Source organism: Homo sapiens, chromosome 2 (genome assembly GCF_000001405.40).
Source record: "Homo sapiens chromosome 2, GRCh38.p14 Primary Assembly".
NCBI lineage: Eukaryota > Metazoa > Chordata > Mammalia > Primates > Hominidae > Homo > Homo sapiens.
Genome location: NC_000002.12, coordinates 4524333 through 4549169, shown reverse-complemented (window position 1 = coordinate 4549169; position 24837 = coordinate 4524333). Strand labels below are relative to the sequence as shown.

At 36.1% G+C, this 24837-nt stretch overlaps 1 annotated feature.

Moving 5' to 3' along the window:
• Window positions 15132–15201: a silencer, noted in NCBI's record as "silent region_11117". NCBI's record gives its function as "represses an Ori minimal core promoter by ATAC-STARR-seq in GM12878 lymphoblastoid cells {active_cell/tissue: GM12878}" and the evidence as "EXISTENCE:reporter gene assay evidence [ECO:0000049][PMID:35858748]".

Below are 24837 nucleotides of genomic sequence, written 5' to 3'. Positions count from 1 at the left end.
CCCATCCAAGTGTGGCAACAGTAGCTGTTTAGGTTAAGATAAAACACAACATCCAAGGCCTAAAGGAACAACAATTCTGGTAGAAAACCTGATCGCTAACATGAATGTCATCTGCATGGAGGCAAGGAGAGATCAACAAGGTCTCTGACACTTAATGAGTGCCTCTCACCTGACAAGTGTCTCAATGTACTATCTCAGCTGGTCCTCCCAACAACACCCCGAGGTATATGTAATCATCCATATTTACAGCTGATACAGTCTAGAAAGCTAAGAAAGCAGAGCTCAAGACAAAGCTTATATGTCAATAAATTGCCGGGAGCAATCCTAGGGCAATGATTTAGACAGCAAAAAGGAACTGAAGTAAGGAATAAGGGCAAACCAATTCCAGGAAGTGCATCCCTTAGTTCCTACAAGTTTGGCAGAAACTCTAGCAAGCTGCTCGATCACAAACGGCATCTCAAAGGCAGGAAATTCACCCATTGTGCATATTTGGTGAATTCATATATAGTGATGAAAGTTACACGGGTAACTAATACATGACAGATAAATAGCTACATGAATAGAGTAACATGCATCCAAGTGACAGCTTGGTAATCTGAGTTTTATTTAAGTATAACTCTGTAAAACAGATGTGTTAAGAGGTTTTCATCATTAATTTGTGATAAGAAGCTTGGGGGACAGTCTGTGTATGGCAGAACCAAGGATAAAATATTGGAAAATTAAGACAGCAAAACTATTTTCAATGTTTTCTTATTCTTTTATATAGAGAGGGCAAACTTATTTTCTGAGTGCTAAGGAGCATAAACATCTTTCCCATTTTCCACTTTGTAGAGTGATAACATAAAATAAAAATAAATCACAGAAGTTTAACATTTCTTAACTAGGGACAGATTGCCAGATATGAATATGTCACGAGAACTCTATGAGCTCTGTGCCGAGGGAAAGAAAGCTGACTGAAATATGCTCTTTTGAGATCCTAGAAATTCTAAATATTCTCAGGCCACTAATAATATGGATTAGGTATAAAAATTCATCTAAAAAGGAAGTGAATGAAAAGAGGATTTAATAGATATATTTAAACAGAGATTGAAACGGTGCAGCCAATGTGATGGACAATAGACTGTTCTCTGTAGCTTTCTTGTGTTGACTTTTCTCATCGAATCTCAGAACAATTGTTTTTAAACTTTTGATTTTGAATAACTTTAGACTTACATAAAAGTTACAAAAATCATGGAGATAATTTCGATACAGCCTTTCCTTATCTTCCCCTAGCACTAACATCATATCTGACCATCGTATAATAATCAAGGCAAGAAATAAACATTGATACAATACTAGTAACTAAACTACAAACCTTATTCAAATTTCCAACCAAATTCAGGTTCCCAGGTTCCCAGCTGACATTTACCTATTAGGTATCCTTCATATCTTACATCATAGGACAGGTCTTATGTCTGTTTTAGTCTTTGGTGACCTGAACACTATTAAAGAGGATTAGCCAGTTATTTTTTGAAACATTCCTCAATTGCAATTTGCCTGATGCTTTCTCATGAGTACTGAAGCTATGAATTTTTGGCAGGAAATCTAGAGAATTGTCAATGCATCCTTCTCAGTATATCATATCAGGAGTTAAATTATATCAATATGTTTCATTGCTTGTGATGTTAACTTCGATTACTGGTTGAGGTGGTATCTACCAGAATTTTCCATCATAAAATTACCATTTTACATGCTATAATTAATAAGTACCTCATGGAAAGCTCCTTAGATCTATACACATATTTGGTTTTCATCAGACTTTTTACCTACTAATGTTAGCATCTCTCTTGGTGATTTTATTTATTCATTTATTTATTTATTTTGTCACTCTCTCACTAGGCTGGAGTGCAGTGTTGTGACGTCAGCTCGCTGCAACCTCGGCCTCCTGGGTTCAAGCAATTCTCTTGCCTCAGCCTCTCAAGTAGCTGGGATTACAGGTGCCCACTACCGCGTTTAGCTAATTTTTGTATTTTTAGTAGAGATGGGGTTTCACCATGTTGGCCAGGCTGGTCTTGAACTTTTGACATTTCAGGTGATCCGCCCACCTCAGCCTCCCAAAGTACTGGGATTACAGTGTGAACCACCATGCTTGGCCTCCTGGTGATTCTTGATTGAACATTAGTACCACAGTGTTTGAAAAATAATGATTTTCTGTTTTTATAATTTATGCTACATTTAATTGAATTCCACTGTAAGGAAAAGCTGTCCTTTCCCCTACATTTGTTCATACAATTATTTTTTGCATAAGTATAAACTCATGAATATTAATTTTATTCTATGGATTATAATCTATATAATCATGTCTATTTATTTAGTGGCTCAAATTATCTTTAGTTTGCCCATATGGATCTCTTTCAGGTTAAATCTTACTATCCTATCTTTTCTTGTTTGTTGTGTTTTTTTAGCATTTTCTTAGTTTCTGACACCACAAAATATTTCGGATTTATTTTATATTTTCTCTGCTCCAGCCCTAGAATCAATTATTCCTCCAAGGATCCCTGACTTCTGTTATTGAAATCCAAAATATTGTTGCTAGCTGTGGTCATTGCCACTGGGGTGTCATTGATTCTAGACCTTTGTAGACAGAAGTAGGAAATATATGAAAGTATACTCACACTTGCAGATAGATGTTAGATATAGATACAGATAGCTACATAGATAGATAAACAATGAATCATAGATAATATATAGATAAGTAATAGATAAATGACATATAGTTAGCATAAGTTCATCCTGATATTGTTTTACTGTTGATTCAAATCACAGGATTCATTTGACCGTTTATCCCTTTCTTACGCATAACTGTATTGTTTGACAAAGTGAAACCTGACTCTCACCATTAACAATATATTTACCTATTTGCTTAATCTTAGTTAATGTATAAAGTATGTTCAGAATCACTAACCAATACTCCTGTGAAAAACAAATTTACTGTCTGGAGTACGATATTTGTGTACAATTTCTTTTGTTTTTAGCCTCACATTATCTAGCCAAGATACTCTTCCAAAATTACTGAGATTCGTACTTTTCTTAACCACTCCCTTTAGCAGGGTTTTGTTATCCATTTATAACAGAGTTGATTTCAAACCTATTGTGCTTATTCCATTTTATGCTCTCTCAGTATCCTTGTATATTTTATGTATGTATGTATGTATATATCTAGAATGTATATAAGATATTGCTGTAGTCCTAGGAGTCAAAGCTATACAAAAGGGAATACTCACAATAGTAGCACTCCTTCCTAATACCCCATTACCCTTCTCTAATCTTTCCATAGTCTTTCCAACAACCCTTGGATGCAACAAATCTCATTCATTTCTGGTTCTTCCTTTATGTGTTTATTTTGCATAAATGAGTTAATGCATATACATTTTCTCATAGCTCTTTCTTTGTTATATGAAATGTGATATACTATAGAAACAATGTTGGGTTTTGCATTTTTAATTTTTGTAAAAATAAAAATATATCCTTTAAAACACTACCAATTCGTTAATTGAGCTGTTCTTTGTGCATATTTATAGTTGCATGATACACCACTGGTTACATTTACCACAGTTTATTTAATAACTCTCCTATATTTGGGCATTTAGGTTGTTTCCCATATTGTGATAGCAAACAATGCGACAATGCATATGAAGTTTTGCATTTTTACAGATTTTTTGAAGAGTAGATTCATAGAACCTACTTCTATGTTTAGTCAAGAGGTAAGTGAATGCATAATCTTAAGTATTGTGAGATTCCCGTCCAGAAGGTTGTACCAGTTTGCATTCCCACCAACTATGTATGAGAGCACCAATATCGTAGAGCCTCACCAACAGAATGTGATATCATATAGCTTTTTTATTTTAATGGCTTTATGGTATATTTTAGTGTCTGGTAGGGCTAGGGCCCCAACCTACATTGTCTTATCTTCAGTGTTGCATGACTACTTTTGCATAATTTTTAACCCATGCAAACTTTAATATGAACATGTCTAGCTTTGTATAAATCAACTCTACCTCATAATTGGAGTTGCAATAAATGTATAAATTATTATAGGAAAAACTGGCAACATCATAATGTTGGGGTTTGCGTCCAAGAAAACGTTTAATATTCTATTTGCTTAATTCCATTTTTGTGTGATTCATTAGTGCTTTAAGATTTTTCTCATATAGGATTTCAACATTTATTTATAAGCTTATTCCTAAGTAATTACTCTTAGTTGCTATTGTAAATGGAAAATTCTTTACTATTATGACCTAGTGTCTAAGTCCTCCTCAAGGTTTATACATCAAAATCAAATCCTCAGTGCAATGGTGTTAAAAGGTGGTGGCTTTGGGGGTGATTAAATCATGGTGGTGGAGCCCTCATGAATGGGATTAGCGGCCTAAAAAAGAGGCCCCAGGGAGATCCTTGCCTCTTCTGCCATGTGAGGACACAGAGAGAAGGCCGTGTATATGAGCCAGAAAGCAGGTCCTCACCAGACAGTGACTCTGCCTTGATGCTGGGCTTCCCAGCTTCAGAGTTGTGTGAAATAAATGGTTATTGTTTATAAGCTGACATGTTTATGGTAGTTTGCTATAGAAGCCTGAACAGACTAAAATGGTGGAGTAGCAATTCCTCCTGCATCACTTAAAGCCCAGACCTCTTCTCACTTCTTGTTCCTTCATTTCCAGGGTCTGTCTTCCATCTGTAGACCTGAAAATGGCACCATCACATCTGGTTTCAGACACTGGAGAGGAAAACATTTTTTAACAGGAGCCGTGATAAGTTTCATATATAATTTTGATTCATATTCCACTGGGGGGAAATCTATTCATAATAATTCATGCTCTTATATTGATTGAGCAAGTACTGTGCTCAAAACTTTCCTGGGGCCTGATGGAATATAATGAGAAAGGGCTAGATGAGGTCTTTGACTACACTGATTCTGTATACTGTCACTAACTGATACCATGGGGACTATTTCAAGTGGAATCTCACTCAGCAGTAGGCAAGCATCTATGATGGAGAGAGCACAAGCCAAAAGTTTTGCTAAAGAGCAGCCTTCGGAAAACTCTGATTCTACCGACCAAATGTGTGTACCTCTATTCATGTTGAAACCTAATTCCACAATCTGAGGGTATTTGGAGGTGGGGCCTTTTGGAGGTGATTAGGTCATGAGGATGGAGCCGTCATGAGTGTATTCATATTCTTATAAAAGAGGCCTGGAGAGACTCCCCATAGCCTTCTTTCATATGAGGTTACAGGGAGAAGATGGCCACCTATGAGAAAATGGGCTGTTACCAGATACCCAAATATGCCAGCAACTTGATCTTGGACTTCCCAGACTCCATAACTGTAAGAAATAAATTTCTGTTGTTTATAAACCATCCAGTCTATAGTATTTTGTTATAGCTGCCCAAATGGACTGAGACAGGAAATTATTACCAAAAGTGGGGTGCTACTGCAATGAATACCTAATATGTGGAAGTGGCCTTGGCACTGGGTAATAGACAGAGGCTGTATAAGTTTAGAAGTGCATGCTAGTAAAAGCCTACATTGCCATGAGTGATGATATGGTTTGAATCTCTGTCCCCACCAAGTCTCATATAGAATTGCAAATCCGCAGTGTTGGACCTGACTGTGAGGCCTGGTGGGAGGGGAGAGGACCATGGAAGTGGTTTTCATGAACAGTTAGCACCATCCCCCTTGGCACTGTTTGATTTTGATTGTGAGTGAGCTCTTGTGAGATCTGGTCATTTTTAAGTGGCAAGTCTATACAATTTTAAGTAAAGTCTTAAGCTTTTAATGTAAAGTCTACATACTTTTAAGTGTGTAGCACCTTTCCTCACCCCTTGCTCCTACTCCTGTCATGTAAGACATGCCTGCTCCACTTTACCTTCTGTAATAGTTCATTTTCATACTGGTATGAAGAAATACCTGAGACTGGGTAATAGATAAAGGGAAAGAGGTTTAAGGGACTCACAGTTCCACATGTCTGGGGAGGCATCACAATCATGGGGAAAGGCGAAGGAGGAGCAAAAATACATCTTACATGGCAGCAGGCAGGAGAGCATGTGCAGGGCATCTGCCCTTTATAAAAACATCAGATCTTGTGAGGCTTATTCACTACCACAAGCACAGTGCAGGAAAAAACCCACTCCCATGATTCATTTACCTCCCAACAAGTCCCTCCCATGACACATGGGGATTACAGGAGCTACAATTCAAGATGAGATTTGGGCAGGGACACAGCCAAATCATATCAACTTCTCCCATGATTGTATGTTTCCTGAGGCCTCCCCAGAAACTGAACATATGCCAGCATCATGCTTCCTGTACAGTCTACAAACCTGTGAGCCAAAGAAACCTCTTTTCTTTATAAATTAGCCAGTCTCAGGTATTTCTATATAGCAATGTGGGAACAGACTAACACAAATGGACTGTTACAGGTAATTCTGAAGAAGGCTCAGAAGGAGAGGAGGAGAGCTGCAGAGAAATCCGAACACATGGGTAATCCTGAACAGAATTTGGGTAGAAAAATGGACAGTAAAAGACATTCTAATGAGCTCTCTTACGAAAATGAGAAATGAGCTATTAGGCGATGGAGAAAAAGCTATCCTTGTTATAAAATGACAAAGGATTTGGCTGAATTGTGTTTATGCACTAGTATTTTGTGGAATGTAAAATTTGTGAGTGATAAAATTGTGTGTTTTCCTGAGGTAATATATAAAAACAAAGTGTTGAAGTAGCAGCCTGGTCCCTCTTGACAATAAATAGTAAAATGTGAGAAGAAAATAATGATTAATAGACAGAATTGTTATCAAAATGGAAGCAGAACTTAAAGTTTTGTAACATTATCAACATATTCAAATTGAAAAGAATTACAGTCTGTTTGTCATAGAATACAAACATGTGGCTCATTCTGATAAGGAAGTTCCTCAACCATCTAAAAAGAAGCCAGGAACTATTGTTCAAGACAATAAAATAATCACCTTAAAGTCAATTCCAAGATCATCAGGGCTGCCTCTCCACTCATTGGCCCAGACTGTAAAATCCCCCAAAAGCATGGAGCCATTGCACAGAGCTCCATTAGACCAATGTCTAGTGGAGCCATGGGATGGGGCTCCAACATGAGGGTTTTGGGAAGCAGGGCCTTTGGGAGATGATTAGGTAATGATTGTGGAGCTTCATGAATGGCATTAATGCTTTTATAAAAGGGGCCCCAGAGAGATGCCTTGGCTCTTCTTCTGTCATGGGGGGACACAATGAGAAGACTGCCATCTGTAAGGAATGGGCCCTCGCAGACACCATTATCTGCTGGCTCCTTGATCTTGGACTTCCTACTCTCTAGAAAAGGAGAAATAAATTTTTTTGTCATTTATAACCTACCTAGTTTATGGTGTTTTGTTATGGAAGCCCTAATGGACACAATATGAAGCTTTTAATTTCTGTATAGTAATTTTATATCATGCTACCATAGTAACTTTTATTGAGTTATTTTTATTATGGATTATTTAGAATTTTCCAGGTAAAACTCTTACATCAACGGCATATTAAAATAGCTTTATTTCTTCCTCACCAATTCTTATGTATCTTATTGATTTTTCTTGTCTCTTCCATTGACCTTAAGGGTTGAATAGTAGTAAAGGTAGAAATTATTCTTTCCTTTCCCTGTTCCTGAACTTAGGGAATTGTCTCTCCACTTAGGAGAACTGTAGAAGCCTCCCTGTCTTACATGTATATTTCAACATATATAAATTTCTACATATTAGATATATATGTGCATATAATTATATATACTTTAAGAATCTCTTATATAAAGAAATACATATATAAATATGTACAAGGAGAGAGAGAGAGAGAATTAGGTTAAGAAAGTATATTTCAGCTTTCATTTTCTTGAGTGTTTTTAGTTAGGCATCAAATTTTGTTGAAGAATTTCTCAGCAACTGTTGAGAAAATTATAAGTTTTTTTGTGATCTATTAATATGCTTTAATATATGAATGGTTTCCTTAATATTAAAACAACTTTTTTATATTGCTATAATAAATGTCATGGTGTACTATTTTTATGTGGTATGGGCACTGTATGTTAATATTTTATTTAGTAACATTGCATTAATTTTCATGAATGATGGTCTGTAGATTCTTCTTTCATGTATTTATTTCAACTGCCTGCATCTGGTTTAGCTTTCATTTTTTGTGATATTTTGCATTGAGAATTTAATTCATTATTTTAATGTTTTTCTTTTTATTGATTAAAAAATGATAGGTAGTGATCCAGACATCAGACAAATTAGAATTCAACTTTTTAAACACGTATGAAGTAAGGTGATCGTACATACTAGTAAGTCCACTTTTCGCTCTAAATTAGAATCACAAAACTTCACTGATAAGCCATAATTTTAGTTTGTGCATGCTGAAAAAAAAATATTTGGTTTTCAAAACAGAAAATTGATATTTAAAATCAATTTCTGCCTAAATATACAATATGCCCTTTCTATTTATTTTTTGAAACTATAAATATGTTTTTACAACTCACTTTTCAGGAAGGTGGAAATTAAAAATGTTTAAACTGGAAATGATCAGTAATAAAATGGATATTTTTCCTTATTTTTAAGCATTTGCTAAAATCACCATACTCCTCTCATTTTTTATTATAGTTTTCTTTAAATAAAATCAAATCTCATACTTTTGGGTACCAGTTCTGAAATATTGTTGGAGGAGATAAAGCTGCCCTCAAAGAATTATCTTAATTGAAGATATAGAGTTTAAGCAGATGAAAAAGTCAATTGACAAATAACTATATAAGCAACTGTTTCTAAAAATCCATGGAAGAGATTTTGTGGGCAAAGGCATCATTAATTGCAAATAAAATATTCAGAACATTGATGGCCAATAAGTTAGAAGTCAGAAAGTATTGTCTCTTCGGGTCATGTTAACCAATCCTCACTTGACTATATCAAAGGATACTCATTTTTATTTCAATCAGATATTCCCTTAGCGCATCATACACTTTCCCGATGAGCCTGTTCAGAACATCAGAATCCTCAGCTCTGCACCCTCCTCTACCATCACCAGTTGATAGGAGTTGGCAAGTGGATTAAAATCTATTTGTGCTCCCATTACAGGCACTTGTTGCTATAAAGATTACTTCTAGTTTGTATTTTAAGAGAATGATTTAAATAGGAGCTGCAATGAACAGTTTTTTTAATGGTAACTTTTTTTGGATAGGCCAAAAGGAAAAGAAATTGTGGGGTTCCAAAAAGAATTCTGGAAGGTTAGAAAGAGCAAAGTCTGCTGTGTGATAAAAGATACACTTACTTGGCAGAGACAAGTTTTCGGTAGGAGTAAGGAGTACTCCTTACAGGGCAGTAAGGAGTACTCCTTACAGGGCTGTAAGGAGTAAGATGAGGATTTGGGTCATTACCCTGTTGTGAAAGGATAAATTTATTTTAATAAAAGTATCTTTTAAGAAGTTTTGATTCCCAGGATGAATTATAGGAAAGAGAGGCAGACTCAGGAGACTATTTGGTAAGATTCCAATAAAGAGAGGGGCTTTTAAAACTGAATAGCCTCTAACAAAGAATCAAGACCTTGAATACTGATGCAGAAAAAATTGAGGAGAGACATGAGAGATATGATGGGGTTCAGGACATGCCACCCCAAAATATGACACCGTGGTATTTGAGCAACAGGAGAAGCAGCCTGCAAAAGTCCTTGACCGAGTCCAGCCATTCTGGGCTGGTGGCTGCCAAGGTTGCGGTGTGGCTTCCTGGAGTGCTGGCTGCAGAGGCTGTGGATCTGAGTTCTATGGTCAGACATGGCCTGGCATGGGTCTAATGCGTCTGTGCAATGGCTCCATCGCACTGGGTGATTTTACACTCTAGCCCACTGAGTGGAGGGGCGGCCGTGATGATCTCGGAATTGACTTTGAAGTCATTATTTCATTGTCTTGGACAATAGTTCCTGGCTTCTCTTTAGATGGTTGGTTCCTTATCAGACGGGCCACACCCTCTGTATTCTGTGCCAAACACACTGTAATGTACGCATTCAGCCTCTCAAGCCACACACACAACGTGGCAGGTGAAGTGTTCAATTAAATATTAGGAGCTTTTAGTAACAATTGTATTTAATGAGCTTCTTGTCAAGAATATCTACTTTTAAAAATGTACTTTCAATTGGTTTGAGAGATTACCGATTATTCAAACGCAAATGATTTCACGTAGTAAGTGAAAAGAACATGCTAAAACAAACTCTGTTACTTAAAGTCTTAATACACAAGGGCTTTGCCTCAGAATCTGGTTAATCCACTCTTTCCTTTCCTTAATGCTGTTTCCCATTTTGTTGCTTTCTCTTAAGAAAAGGTGATCCAGTTCATAAGAAAATAATGTTTTGGCTGAATAATAAAGGGTATCTGTCTGGAAATGTTTGTCTGTCATGGTTTGGGGGGTGTGAATCATTTTTCCTCCCACGACAATGAAAATTAAAATTATTCACAAAATCCATTAGGATTAATTTAATAACAAGAAGTTAACTTGTTGGCACAAATAGCCATTCAGGTAATGTGACAAGTTAGCACAATTTTGAAAATCAAGTGTAATCTTTCAAAGCCACTTTCAGCTTCCATAGTCTACTAGGAGTTTTGCCCATTCCAGAGAATAACTTGTTTAAAAATGGATGAACTTTATTATTTTTAAGGAAATTTATAATAAAAGTCTGCTCATTTTCAATTTTATTATTTCTCATCTGGTTTGTCATAATAATTTGGATGTGTGGCCCTTCTACTAAAAAATTGAAACATGAAAATAATTAATAATTAAAATTCTTTTCAGTTTCTGGGGATTAATATAAACACACAAAGCTTCTTAAATTATTTGACTTAAAAAACATCTAATCTGATACTATGCTAACACCTTTCTAAAACTACAAAGTATTTCTTTTTCGATAGCATCTCTATAACAGTTTTCAGAAAGATATAAGATTTCCTTGGTAAAATCTGGTATTACGCACAACAATAAATTATCTACCTGAGATGTAAAGACTGTTAACCTTCTTTTAAAATTGTTTTTATTGCTTGAGACATTCTGATAGTCTAACCTAAAACTGAAAAATGAATTTTACCATTCATTGAGACAATCTATTACTGGAAACAAAATTTTCACCTTAATTGCTTCTCAGATGATATATTAAAGTCTAATACCATTGTCCCCCGCCCACCAACACACACCAACATCCTGAGTTTAAACTGTTTTCTCAAATGGTGGCAAGATTTTCTGCTTACAGTGCTACTTGAGTCTTTCCATCGCCTTTCCTTTCTGTCTCTCCGACCTGCCCTGTGTTAGTATTTTAAAGAGATTGGCTTTTTGCTATATTTGGGTAGAGTCTGTCTTAATGAGTTTTCAAAACTGATCATATTTCTCATCCCCAGGATACATAAACTATCTTTTAGGATATATTTCAAATATTGAAACAGAATTTCTTATGATGTCACATTTGTAAAAATAGCCCAATAGCATTATAAGTTCACATAACCATCTCTCTAAACAGCACCCATTAATATTACTACCCAAATTTCATTTATATGTGTATTAGTTTAATCTTCTTCACTTTTGTTCCACAGCTTATAATGATTTTTAGAAAACATCTTTGCTTATTCTAGGAGATGAAACTTCTGATTTCAACAATATTAAATCATATCCACTGGAGCTCTAGTGACGAGGTGAACATTTTTTGTATAAGTGCATTTCAATGTTCATAGAAGGAGGCTGATCAACATTACTCCTCAAATTCCAATTTTTATATTGACTTCAAATAAAAAAGTAATTAATATAGTCATCCTAACTTACTCTCAGGGTTTCTTTCTCCATTCCTACTCATTACACTGCAATTAATTTTTGCTCTGAAATATAAATTTCACCAAATATTTTGGAACAAATGGACTTTATAGGCATAAAAAGAGAACCAGCTTAGATTGTAGCCTACAGTTTTTCAAATCATTTTTATTAGGATTTTTTAGAATTTAACTTAATTGCAATATTAATGTCCTTTATCATTAATCTGCTTGATTTTCATTAGTGGAGTTAGAGGAAAGGAAAAATAAGATAATTCTCTAAAGGGATAAAGAAAACCTACACAGGAATTGCTGATTCCCTAAATCAAATGTTACTAGATTTCGATAGTTCTCACAGAATTGTTTATTTTGTAAACTTTATAATGAGGAGAGGTGGAAAGACTTTTATCTAGGTTAAATAAATGACTGTTCATCAACAATATGTTTAACATTTAACAATCATAAATTGTTAACTGAATGACTCTTAACTCTAGCTAATTATACAGATTGTCTTCAACTCTTTAATGAAATGGGACATAATTTTCAAAATTAAAGTGCATTTCAATTAGCAAAAAGTACATGTCAATGGTACAGATTTTTTACAAAGCACATGGATCTCTTTGAAGGATTTTGAATATGTAAATAATCAACACTTTTTTTGAAAAGGGAACCCTAATCTTGTAGCATTCTGAATCAAAAAAGAATGCTATCATCAAGAGTGGACATTAGACAACATAATATTTACTGTCAGAGTTTATTCTCACGTGTGCAGCATCCTGTTAGTAGCTCCAGGGCAAGGACGTTAACCCTTTCTCTTTTGTGCAGTGCTCTCCTACTGAGTGTGGGTTTTGGATTCAGAAAAGCCTGAATTTTAAAGGCTCTTGTCAACTTTTAGCCAAAGCCTTTCTGTTTTAGATAGTCTCTGATTATTAATTTCTTTGGGTAGAGGGAGGATGAGAGCATCTATCGGTTTCTGAAGGTTTCCATAACAAAGCATCACAAACCATGTGGCTTAAAGCCATGGAAATTAATTCTCTCACAGCTCTGGCTGGGAGATGGAAATCTGAGAGCGAGGTGTCTGCAGGGCTGGTTTCTTCCCGGAGCGGAGAGGAAGAATCTGTTCCAGGCTCTCCTCCAGCCTCTGGGTGTTTGCTGGCCATCTTTGGTGATCCTTGGCTTGTTAGAAGCGGAAGCCTGGTCTCTGCCTTCATCTTTGCATGTGTTCTTCCTATGTGTGCCTGTGTGTCAATTTCTGCTTTCTATAAGGACACCAGTCATATTGGATTAAGAATCACCCTAATCCAGAATGATTCATTTTAACTAACAATTGCATCTGTAATGGCCCTATTTCCAAATAAAGTCACATTCTGGGGCGCCAGAGGTTAAGACTTCAACATAAGAATTTGGTTGGGACACAATTCAACTTACAACAGCACCTGAATTCTATAGGATTGCTATAATTGTTTACATGTAAAAATTGACTGAATACTTCACAAATTCTTGCCAGAGGCAGATGCGGTCACTATATGAATAAAAATCCTCCTGTAAACACAGGGCCTGAGTGAGGGTCTCGGATCTTTCCTTATCTGCATGACTTCACCAAGCCATAGCGCTTCTCTTTGTAAAATGGAGATATTTAAAGCAATAAAATACGTAAAATGTTTACCATGGTACTGAGCACATAGCCAGGGCCCAATAAAGGCTAAGGAATTTTATCAGCATGTCTGCACACGTACCGATATAATATTGCATTTCAGAATTTTTCCTCCTTTTTTAAATAAATATGTCATTTGTTTCTCTGATTATATTTCTAAAGGCCAGGCAGAGTCTAAATGCTTAAAAGTTTGGCCAGCTTGTTAATTGGTTGGTTTCACTTAGTTGATATTCTGTGGGTGTCAAATTACTTGTCTTAGAAATTTGGGTTATTTTAACCATCATAAAATATATTTATTAATTCTTTTTTCTTATGAAAATCATTAAAACTTAAGTTTCTATGAGAATAAAAATGTCTAGATCAAATTAATGTAAATTTTAAAGTGTGGTTTAATTTTTTTTTTGCTAGAAAAATAATCAAGTTTCCGTAACAATTTTTTATGAAGGTTGTTTAAAAACTTAATGATTCTAATATTTGAGTACACTGAAATAAACTGTTTTGAACAAAGACCAAACTAAACTGTATATATTACAACAACAAAAAAACATGCTTTTATTTTTACTAGGTATCATGCAAGTCTAAGATGCTCACTTTGGAGTATTAATGCCTACGTTCTTTGTCTAGCTGTGTCTGGATGAAGGGTGGTTGCAGGCACTAAACAGAAATAAGTGTCTTTAAAACAGAACTTTATAAGGTGCATTGTTTAGCTGGTTGGGCTATGCCTGGTGTTATTCAGCCAGTTTAAATATCTATCTGTAAATATATATAGGATCTTTTAAAGATGATGTGGAGGTTTACTTAAAATGAGAAAAATCTTCCCTCTGAATGGAGAATGACAAGGTTTCCCATGCAAGTGATCGCACCTCCTATGGTGTTCTGGGGTTACTCTTCCTATCTTCTCCAAATAAAACAGCTTGAGGTTTTGTTTTGTTTTGTATGTCACCCAGAGCCTTCGCCCATTATTTTGACGCTTGCTTGGCAGAAGAGGGGTGAAGAGGGTAGGCTTGTGTTTGCCTGAATTGTTTCTCCTTAGTGGCGTAGCTTCTAACAATTATAGGTTTTAACTTTCTCACCACTGTTTAACTCCATCCATTCCCCAGATCACACTAGCAAAACAGTGAGGTTATAATAGACCTTTGATGATGGAGGTTTTCAAAGAATAGGCATGAATTGCAGAATAAACCAAAAAAGACTAATTTATTCGCTTAAGAGGGTTGGCCTTGAAGCCAAATTGCCTCTACTGAACTTCATTTGCTGTATAACTTTTGGGGTAATGGCTATCTACTATTTTTGACTTGCCCTGAATCTAGTAATATTTTTTCTATTGGCAGCACCTCGTTTCTTCTTTGAGGAACCACCCTTTCCTACATCCAGTCCACGGATTCAGTTGGGGCTGACTTTATATCTTATGCTCCAGAAACTGGTATGGTTTTAGTCCCAATAATTGACAGTCACAGTGATTTCTAACAAAACAGATATAGGCTCAAGACATTGAATTGTGAGAAATAACCCAGAACTTTTGCTGGAGCTTATTAGGAAAGAGGCATACTCTCTCTATCAGTGTTACTAAGGCATATGAAATTCAAGGCTGCTACCATGGGGGAGCATGTGTGCAGGACACTGAAGAGTTTTCGAAGTAAATGAAAGCAGAACTGAGAAACAGAGACAGAGCCCTGGTGACATTCCTTCAGCAAGGACACGCAGTGCTGCCAGAAGCATGGTCTACCTTAGTGTTTTAATGATATGAGTCACAGTTTCTTATCAGATGGGTAAAAATATGGCATTGGAGCCAGATGGCTTCAGTTCCAAACACAGGTTGACTCTTCCCAGCTGTGTGATCATGAACAAATCATGCACACTCTCTTTGCCTCCTCATCTGTACCTACTTCACAGGGTTGGGAAGCTAATCCATGCAAGAACTTAGAACGGTGCCTGGAATATACTGTGAGCTTTATAAGTCCATGTTATCATCATGCATTATTGCTAGTAGTTTTTCTTTAAACCAATTACAACTTGGTTTCTGTCCCTCATAATCAAGAAGATCTTCTCCAAATAGCTCATAGTGCTATTGTTGGATTACATGCACAGTCTCAAAAGCCTTGGCACATATGGGCTATTCAAGTATTATTTGTTATTGTTATTATTGTTAGCAATGACATAATTATTATCTTCTTTTCCTTCTTCAAAGCATCATTCTTATTGAATGAAAGTATTATTCCTTAGCTCTAAGAATTTCTCCATAGCCATATTCTATCCTTAAGAATGTGTGCCTGACATTTTGGGCATTCTTTTCTCCTTCTCTCTTTTCTGATGCAAGCCTGAAACAAGCAAATAACTTTTATTTTATTATAGAGTTCATATCTGCACGACAACCATGCCATTTCTTAAATATCCAATAGCCATTAAAGTACAGTGTTCAATATCACTTTTCCTACTCCAGACCTTCATCTTAGACATACCAATTACTGGTACATGCTTTATAATTGCAAATTTCTCTGTATTTTGGATTTAATTCTTATGAATAATCCCATGCCCAGCCATTGTCACAAGCAGCAAGGATTGAAGGACAAAAGGTTTCTTACAGTTATATCCACCAGTCGTAAATGGTAAGCAGTGTGTTTTGACACCCATCTCTTCGCCTGGCTTCTAAAGAATCATGAGAGCCCATAACTGGTAGGATTCAAGGAATTTATTTCACACTGGTTTCATGTGGATTCTATTCTTGGTGTCTCAGGATATTCTCACAACTCTTGGTCTGGTGTCCCCAGAATGTCTGTGTTTTTCTTCAGAGTATATATTATTAACCAAAGAGCAATCATTTCTTAGTTTAAACACATACTTAGCTTACGACATATAAATACTTAGTCATTAATGTACACTTTCTATAATGGCTGATAAAACCATAGTAGCCTTCTGTCTCTAATCTAAGCACAGCTTCTATTTGTGTTTCTATTTTCTCTATGGGATCACTGGAGGCTATACGCCCTCAGCGGTTTCAGTGACTGGATGGGGTGGGAGTTAAAGTCACGCTGGAGGGAAGTGGTGTTCCAGCAGAGAATCTCAACTATAAAAGTCGACTCCCTATTGCATAGCACTGTGATATTTCCTGTGAACACCTTTAAATGTGCTAATGATAAGAGCCTGTATTATAGTTTAATGGCTTTATGCTCAGTATCATGTATACTATCCAGAGGATACTCCCTTCACATAGAATTCAGTTCTCATTCTCCCCAGCAATTCATCCCATCTCTCTCACACACACACACACACACACACACACACACACACACACACAGAGAGAGAGAGTAACTGCTTCCTATCTTCCAGAATATTGCTAATTCTTGTTTCAAGTTACCTACTGTCTTCTCTAGGAAACCTTCCCTAATTCCCTAATTCTACCTACTCTTGTCTTCTGGGGCTTCCTTAGTGATTTGTGTATGTCTCTCATTCACCACAGTGAGCCAAGTTAACTATTTCAGCCATCCCTCCCTCATTTAACCATAAGCTCCCAGAGCAAGGCGTTAACATGACCATGAATATTTGCTGTGCCGACTGCTCTTGACTGCCTTATTCATGCGCCCCTCTCCAGTGTAGTGGGCTCAGGGTGTGTCAGACCGGTGAACACTGCAGTCTCGCTTGCTCTTGGGAGTGAGTTAAATCTCGTATGCATAGCAGTTGGGGTTCTTGGTTGCAAACCTCAGGAAGCAACTCAGGCTTTGCAGTTAATGCTTCGAACCTAATTCAGTGGTAAAACCATGTGTTCACACAAACACTGATACAGCAAGAAATTCCTTAAGTACTCAGAGATCACGGATATTATAGGATGACCAAGTTAATCGAAAGTATGTTCAAACATTTGGAATCTTTTAACAAAGCCAGTACATAGACAATTATAATACTGAGTACTCCGGCCACTGAGCATGTGTTCTGGGGTGTCACCAGCTGCACTCAGGAGAAGCTGCCCTGCTCAGTCTCTCCAAGCCACCTCCACCCCAAGCCTTTGCTTAAGCTCTTAGCTCAGGCGCTAAGAGGCAAAAATGTTTCCCTCTGAATTGACCTCATTAAGTGGCTATTTGAGCTTTGTGTAAGCAGAATTATTGTTGGAAAAATGCAGTAAAAAGTAGTGATCTGCAATTTCATTTGCAATTATATTTTTATTAAAACAGTAAATGACTGAAATTCAGATTTCATGCAACATATAGTCACCCTAATAGCAATAAAATTCACATATTAAATATAAATGGAAAGTGCAAAACCATGATATTTTAGTAGTCTGTGGAATCTAAATTTGTATAAGGGTTGATAGAAAAAGTAAATTTCTTGATTACATAACAGTTGGTACAGATTTAAAACACTGCTTAGTCTCCTGATGACTAACAGTGTTTCTAATAAGAAACATGAAAATACCAACATAAAAATAACTTCAGAGGTAAAGCAAGAAATACAGAAAGAAAAATAAAAATGATTTTTAAAAAATAACCATAGGTAGGGGCGGAAGGGATGAATACTTTTTTTAGTTGAGATATTAAAAATAGTAATTATAAGAATATAAAACAATGTAGAATGCACTATAGATTACATTATAGGTAAGATTCTATTACTTCACAAGTAATTCATGAAGTATGTTTTAATACAACAGATAACAGAATGTGAAGCCTATTGTTGATTAGCTATCAGGCATGTTTACTAAATCAAAAAACATACAATCATGACAAGTTTTTAAATAAATCTCATTTACAAAAATCATCATAAGAATATGAAGTACATGAAATATCTTGATCTTAAATCATCCACTTGCCTACAGGGGTAGGGCTATGTGTTATATTAAGTCCAACTGCTGAGTAATTTGCAAAAAAACTGGGAACTGTTTGCTCATTTGAGTTCAACATATATTTTCCCCTTTTAGTTCTAAAATTAATTTGTGTGAAGAACTTGTCCAAATAAAAATCACTCATGTTATGAAGATACCTCCTATGAATTAAGAAGACAAATATAGACATGAATTGATGATGATAAATACAAAATTTGGACACTTTGTAATGCAGTTCCATTATATAAATAATTTTATTTTAACCTTTTTATTCATTTTAATTGACAAACAAAAATTGTATGTATTTATCACGTGAGGTGTGACGTATGTTTACACAATGGAGTAGTATTCAGCCTTAACAAAAAGTTCGGTCATTTGTGACCACATGGATGAACAGGGACGTTCTGCTAAGTGGAAGAGGCAGGGAGGGAAAGACAAAAACCACGTGATTATCACACTTACACGTGGGACCTAAAGCAGTTGAATTCACAGAACTAGAAAGTAAAATACTGTTTTGCCAGGGGCTGGGGGCTCGGGTGCGATGTTGGACAAAGGGTACACATTTCAGTTAGACAGAAGGAATAAGTTCAACAGGTCTAATGAGCAGCATGGCGACCAGAGTTAATAATGGTGCATTATATTCTTGAAGATTGCTGACAGTAGATACTAAAACATGATGTTTTTTGTGATTAAAAAGAATTACAAAAAACAATAAACATATGAGGTAATGCACACATTAATGAACTCAAGGCCTCCCCCACCTTCCCCCACCCCTGAATTCTTGGGCCAGCCTCTGCTGTCTCTTCCAGGGTAGAGGCCCAGGTCCTGACTATGGCCTGTGAGGCTCATCCTGGTCCATCCCCACTTTCTGTGTTACATCCACTCCACACTTTACCACCTCTCTTCCCCTCTGGCCCCTTGCTCTCTGGAACCTCACCCAGGTGCACACCCTCCTCAAGCCTTGCATAGGCTGCCCTGTCCTCTGGAGCACCTTCCCAAGGCCTGTCCTTCCATCCTCGGCAGCATCACTGCTCAGAGAGCCAGGCCAGGCAGCACAGCCACAAAGCCCCATGGAAGTGGGCATGTAGACCTGATCTATAGAAATCCCCACTTTAACAGAGCTGTAGGTCATGGAGACCTGCCTTGCCTTGCAAAACGAACCCTATGTGTGTGAAGCATTGAGATTCTCTAACACTTTGGCTGCAAAGATATTTTATGATGTGCATTATGAAGAAAAACAAAATGTAGAGAGAAGTCATACCAAAGTTGTTTTCCCTAATGTATAATACATTTAAGCATGAATATGTCTCCAAAAACATATCTTTAGGTGCCAGCATCTTTTAAGTCTAAGTGGCAGAAGACAACTTGAACTAGAGTATGTCAAGCAAGGACAGAAACATGCAGGCTCAAAGAACAGATGATGGCTCATCTCTCAGAAATGACGAAAGGCTGTGAAACTCAACATCTGAATGTCGGAGTTGCTAGGTTGTCTGAGAGTTCCTGGAAGCAATGGCAAAAATGAAAATCGTTGAATCTCTTGGCTAATAAAGAAAATGTGGAGTTTCGTGGTAGTTGGTAGGCTGTCTTTGTTGATTTTACCTCTTAAAAAGAAGAAAATTTGCCTCAGATAATTGTAGAACTTTGGACCATTCACACAGCTAACTTTTTCATCATTTGTAAATTACATAACCTGCATTCCAGATATTTACATGTCTAGAAGGCTCTTGGTATAAGTTAAACTTTATTACTTTTTATTCAGACTTCATACTTTTATTTTTAATTTCCTGAATGCCATTATAAAATATTAGTCATAGAAATTCAAATCAGACACTGAAGCCCATTTCCAGATGGCAGAAGTGATGACTTGAAGGTCACCGATATGAGGAAGTGGTCTGACGTGATGAGGAAACTTCCTGTGGTGTAATGTATGGAAAATCTACATGCCCAAAGGGTGGCATTACCTTTGCACAGAGTAGGCGGGCCAGGCAGCTCTGGGCATGGGATGATAGTGAATTTAGCCTCCTCAGGAAACTTACTGGTTGCCAGATCAAAAAGCTTCCTACACATCTGTCTCAAAAGCCCAAATACTAACTACAGATACAGACTTTAAGTGGTGGCTGCTCAAACACCACACCTCCACCCGCCTCACCCACCCTGGGTATGGAGTGTGCCCCCCGCCCCTGCCCTTAGTCCTGTGAATCACATGAGCTGGGGCAGTCTTCACCCCTGTGGGCTTGGAGGCATTTTACTTTCTGAGGTCTTAAGATGCCTCCTCTGATCATTTCTTCTCTAGCACTCCATTCACTTCTCTTTGCTCCTTCCTCTTTAAATAAAATATATCCTTTTATTTGTCTGAACTAAGATTTCCTGAAAGCATTGTCAAGACAACCACAATCTCTGATATGTTTTTCTTCACACAGAGCACCATTTGTCTTCATAGGCTTCCTCCAGACACTTCTCCACAGCCCTTTCTTTGTAAACTAAAAAGCCCTATAAATAAATATTCCTGATCAAAGAGTTTCTTCACTAAAAATAGTATTAGTACAGATTGTAAAAGAACTAAGTTATATCTAAACCCCTTGCATAAAGTTGTAGTGACATCTTCTCACTACAAGGACTTGGAAACCAACTCATCGTGTGGACTGGTGGTTGCTGCCACTGAAATGTGTGCATTTTAGCTACCCCAGCCTTCAACCCAGGTAGCAGGAGAGGTGTTCCTCCTCAGCCGGACCCGCAGGGGCTTAATGTCTTAGAAATGTCTCTCTTCCTTCCTTCCTTCCTTCCTTTCTTCCTTCCTTCTTTCCTTCCTCCCTCCCTCCCTTTCTCTCTCTCTTTTTCTTTTTTCTTTCTTCTCTCCTTCACCTTTTTTCTCTCATTAATCATCTATGTACCTCCTACCCATTTTCCAAACTGATGTAACACAAGATAAATATAAATAAGTAAGGAAACTGCAAAAATATAAATATAGGAAAGTAAGAAAACTGCCAAAGGCAAAGATTAGAAGAAAAAAAATGGGATAATGCAGAGATGAAGTATTATAAAAAATAAGTCTTCTGAAATGCTGAGCACTTGCAAATGTGCTGCTAACCTTCTTGGAAGCTGAGACAGAAGACAAATCACTCGTGAGAAAACATGACTACTTTTTTCATGAAGACATAAAATAATTCTTCTGCAGTTATTATTAGAGAGGATGCAGATGACGAATATGACTAGCATCATCAACAGCATCATTGAGTCAATGCGCTAACTTATCAGGCTGTCCCTTTGTTTAAAATGCTCACGTTTCCTGTTGCATAAATACAGTTCAGTTAAAAAAGCTTGTTGAAGAGGTCAGTGAGAGTTTCTAGAAGACAGTTAATGTGTGTTTTGAGCGTCCTACGTACCCGATGTGTTCTACGGGTCTCAGTAACATAAGCAGTGTCAGTGATCTCAAGCTATGTATGCAAAATTTTAACAGATAAGCAAGTAAAGTTTACTCTATGTGCCCAGTTTCTGACTTAATGTCCTAACAATGGAGGGGTAGAATAAACTTTACGCATATATATTAAATCCAAATTTTACAATAGAAATTGATGAAGAGTATAGTTTGAGAAGGAATATAAAATATAAGAAATGTGTATTAGCATAATGCTAAATAAGCATCTATTTAAAAGGAAAACATAACTTTAGTATAAAAAAGAGTAGTTAAAGTAAATCTAAAATAGAATTTTTCACATAGCTATACATTCAATAAATATAAATGAATGAATGGACAGATGTCATTTTAAGAGTGGATCCTTATTTCTAATATGTATGTCAAGCATATTTTACTTATATGAGAAAACATACACTTTTCATAAAATTTGAACATGAATGTTGCTGATGTATACAGTTAAATATATCTAATGTTATTATAAAACTTCCAGGCCAGGCGCAGTGGTTCACGCTTCTAATCCCAGCACTCTGGGAGGCTGAGGCAGGCAGATCACCTGAGGTCAGGAGTTCGAGACCAGCCTGACCAACATGGGGAAACCCCATCTCTACTAAAAATACAAAATTAGCTGGGTGTGGTGGCGCATGCCTGTAATCCCAGCTACTCAGGAGACTGAGGCAGGAGAATTGCTTGAACCCAGGAGACACAGGTTGCAGTGAGCCGAGATCGCGCCACTGCACTCCAGCCTGGGCAACAAGAGTAAAACTCCATCTAAAAAAAAAGGAAAAGAAAAAGAAATCCTCCAGTTGAGTATTTTTCCCTTCACTTTCAGAACACATACACACGGAAACACACTTTGATGTTTTCATAAATGCATATACTCACACAACCACCACCATGATCAAGGTATAGAACATTTTGATCCATTCAACAAAAATGTCCCTTTTCATCGTTGAGTCCTTCCCCCTCACCTAGACCATGACAAGCACTGGATTGCTTATTGCCCTTAGAGTTTGGCCTTTCCCAGGATGGCATATTATAAAACTATTATAAAACTGTAGCTTATGTATTTTTTTATTTCTGGCTTCACTTTGCTTGAAAGTTTTGAAATTCATTTATTTCTATATATATATATATATATATATATATATATATATATATATATATATATATATATATCAATAGTTTATTTTCTTTATTGTTAAATAGTACCCAATTTTATGAATATACCACAATTCGTTTATCCATTCATCAGATGATATACATTTGAATTGTGTGCAGTTTTTAACTTTTATGAACAAAACTTTTAAAAACATACACGTATAGGTCCTTTGCTCTCAGTTATTTTTATTTTTAATGGATAAATACTTCAGACTAACATTGCTGGATCATAAGATAAGTAGATTTGGGCTTGATAAAAGCTTTCCTAAGAGAATTCACAGCTTTTCCTCTCTCACCACTGATGTATGAGACTTCTAGTAGCTTCACATCCTCACCAACACTTGGTATAACAAGAAATTTTGCTTTGCCATTCTGGTGAATGTACAAGTGGTCTTAATGTGTATTTCCCTAATTGCTAATAATGTTGAACACATTTTTGCTTCTAATTGGCCATTTTTACATCTCTTTGGAAAGTACCTGTTTGCCTACTTTGTAATTATATTCTCCTTTTATTGAATTGCAAGAATTTCTTATTTATGCTGAATACATTATAAATATGATATGGAGTGTAGATAATTTAATAAATGTTTACCAGTACTTTCTCCCAATTTGTGACTTCTGTTTCATTTCTCTCTGCGATGACTTGTAATATTCAGTGCACAGATGTTGTGCATATTTTGTGAAATTTACCCCAAAATATTTCACAATTTTTATGTGATTATAAGTAGTTCCAGTTTTTAAGTTCAAACTCCCATTGGTTATAATATATAGAAATAAAATGACTTCTTGTTTATGGACCTTATATCCTGTGACCATTGTAAACACTCTAAACTGCTACCAATTTTATAAATCCTCAGACTTTTCTAACTAGATGATCATGCCATTTCTGAATAAAGGTAATTTTGTTTCTTTATTCCTGATCAGTTTGCCTTTAATTTTTTTTTGTCTTGCTTTATTCTGCTAGGTAGAAGTTTCAATATAATTTTTAATAAAAGTGGTATGTTTGGACATACTTTCCTTGTCATTTTTCCTTTGTTTTCTTGTTTCTTAGAACAAAAGCATTCCTCTAAGTTTTCAAATGTATTGCAATAAGTTGTTCACAATATTCTATTATGATCGTTTTATTATCTGTTGTATCTGTTGTGATGGCCTATCTTTCACTGGCAATTTGCGCCTCCTCTATTTCTCTTAATGAAACTGACTAGAATTTATTGATTTTATTATTCTTTGTTTTTGCATTTATTAACTTTCATTTTCATTGATTTCTATTTTCATTTGTATTATTTCCTTCTGTTAGACAGATTTGAATTAAATTTCCTCTTCCTTTTTGTAGTTTCCTAAGTGTAAGTGTAGATGATTGATTTGAGATTTGTTTCTAAAGTAAACATTTAATGCGATAAATATTCCTCTATGCAATGTTTTAGCTCCATATGACATATTTTGATATGACTTGTTTTCATATAATCCCATTCAAAATATTTCCTTATTTCCCTTGTAACTTTTTATCTGACCAGTGAATTATTTATAAATGTCATTTTTAATTTTAAAATATTTTGGATGCTGGCCAGAGTAGCTCATTCCTATAATTCCAGAACTTTGGGAGGCTGAAGTGGGAGGAAAGCTTTCGCCCAGGAGTTCCAGGCTGTAGTGAGCAGTTGTTGGATCACTACATTCCAGTGCCAGTTCCGGCAACAGAGCAAGACCCTGCGTCCAAAAATAAAAAAAGTTTAATAGTATTGTTCAAATTTTCTATATATTTACTAATTTTCTGTATTCATCCCATCAATGATGGAGAGAGAAAGAAGTGTTTTAATTTCAAACAATATTTATGATATTTGAAAAAAAGTTCTGTTTTCTTGGGTTTTGCTTGATATCATTGGAAGCTCTGTTATATATTTAAAAGTTTTTTTTAATTCTTGATGAAGTGACCCTTAATTATCATGCAATGTTTCTCATTATTCCTG